The following is a 1231-nucleotide window of genomic DNA, read 5'->3' on the forward strand; positions in this document are numbered from 1 at the left end:
AACAGGTATTAGAAAGTATAGTTATTATTTTCCTTACAAAAATAAAAGATACAAGAAAGCGAAAACGGTATTTGTTATGTTCACCTGGATATCCTAAGGGCAATATAAAACCTCGCTTAGAGAAAGTCAATTTTTACTTACAATTTGGATACAATGATGATGGGTAAATGAATTGTACCATCCATTCTTTAATGAGATTGCACATTTGGGCTTGGTATTTCTTTATTAAAGAATAAACAAATAATATAAGAAGTTTTAATAGTAAAAATTAATAAAAAGAAAATAATATATTGACTAAATATAAATAACATATTTTGATATAACACAATGTAAAAGTACACATAATATTACATGGACAAAAATAATTTAAATCTAATAAATAAATAAATATTTCAATAGATAGATAATTAGATCTATCAGCATGGTCATCTGTAAAGGACTAGTGCCTGCACAGGTAAACATGATGTTTCCTTACACTCCTGAAAAGATCTGAAAATTTTGATTCAACTCATGCGGTGGTTATAGGAGAAATGAGTCTTTGAAATGGCAGAAGTCATAGAAGTGTGGACTGGTGTATTAGTCAATACAGATCATTTCCATGTTGAAACAGGTTTCATTCCTTCCTCCTTAATCTTTCTTGAAAAATTTTTGATAAAGAGAAGGATCTCATGATTTCTGCTCTGACAACCTCCCAGGCACAAGGGCTGTATTTCTTCTCTGTCAGATAAAGAGTGATTCTTTGGAAGTATTTCTTCACAGCCAGGATGGAGTCCACATTCATCAGGGGAGTCTCTTCCACCCCAACCTCCTGTATCACGCAGGCTTCCAGGTCATTCAGCTGCTGGTTAAGTTCAGTGGAAAATTTTTCTAGGAGGCTCTGTTCCCAAGTAGCAGATGAGTCCTTTGTGCTGAAGAGATTGAAGGTCTGCTGGATCATCTCATGGAGGACAGAGATGGCTTGAGCCTTCTGGAACTGGTTGCCATCAAACTCCTCCTGGGGGAATCCAAAGTCATGTCTGTCCTTCAGGCAGGAGAAAGGAGAGATTCTTCCCATTTGTGCCAGGAGTATCAAGGCCCTCCTATTACCCAGGCTGTGGGTCTGAGGCAGATCACAGCCCAGAGAACAGATGGATTTGTAGCTGAGCACCAGCACGGCCATCAGTAAAGAAAAGGACAGGGCCATTGGGATGTTGCCAATATTGCTAGGCTACTTGAGATGGGTAACCTTGAA

At 37.8% G+C, this 1231-nt stretch overlaps 1 protein-coding gene across 1 annotated transcript; it reads right to left on the reverse strand.

Moving 5' to 3' along the window:
• Window positions 208–1231, reverse strand: IFNA21 (interferon alpha 21). The gene has a single exon (NM_002175.2). The coding sequence runs from the start codon at window positions 1181–1183 to the stop codon at window positions 614–616; it is 570 nt and encodes a 189-aa protein (NP_002166.2). The 5' UTR covers window positions 1184–1231; the 3' UTR covers window positions 208–613.

The sequence above is a fragment of the Homo sapiens genome, chromosome 9 (genome assembly GCF_000001405.40).
Source record: "Homo sapiens chromosome 9, GRCh38.p14 Primary Assembly".
Classification (NCBI taxonomy): Eukaryota; Metazoa; Chordata; class Mammalia; order Primates; family Hominidae; genus Homo; species Homo sapiens.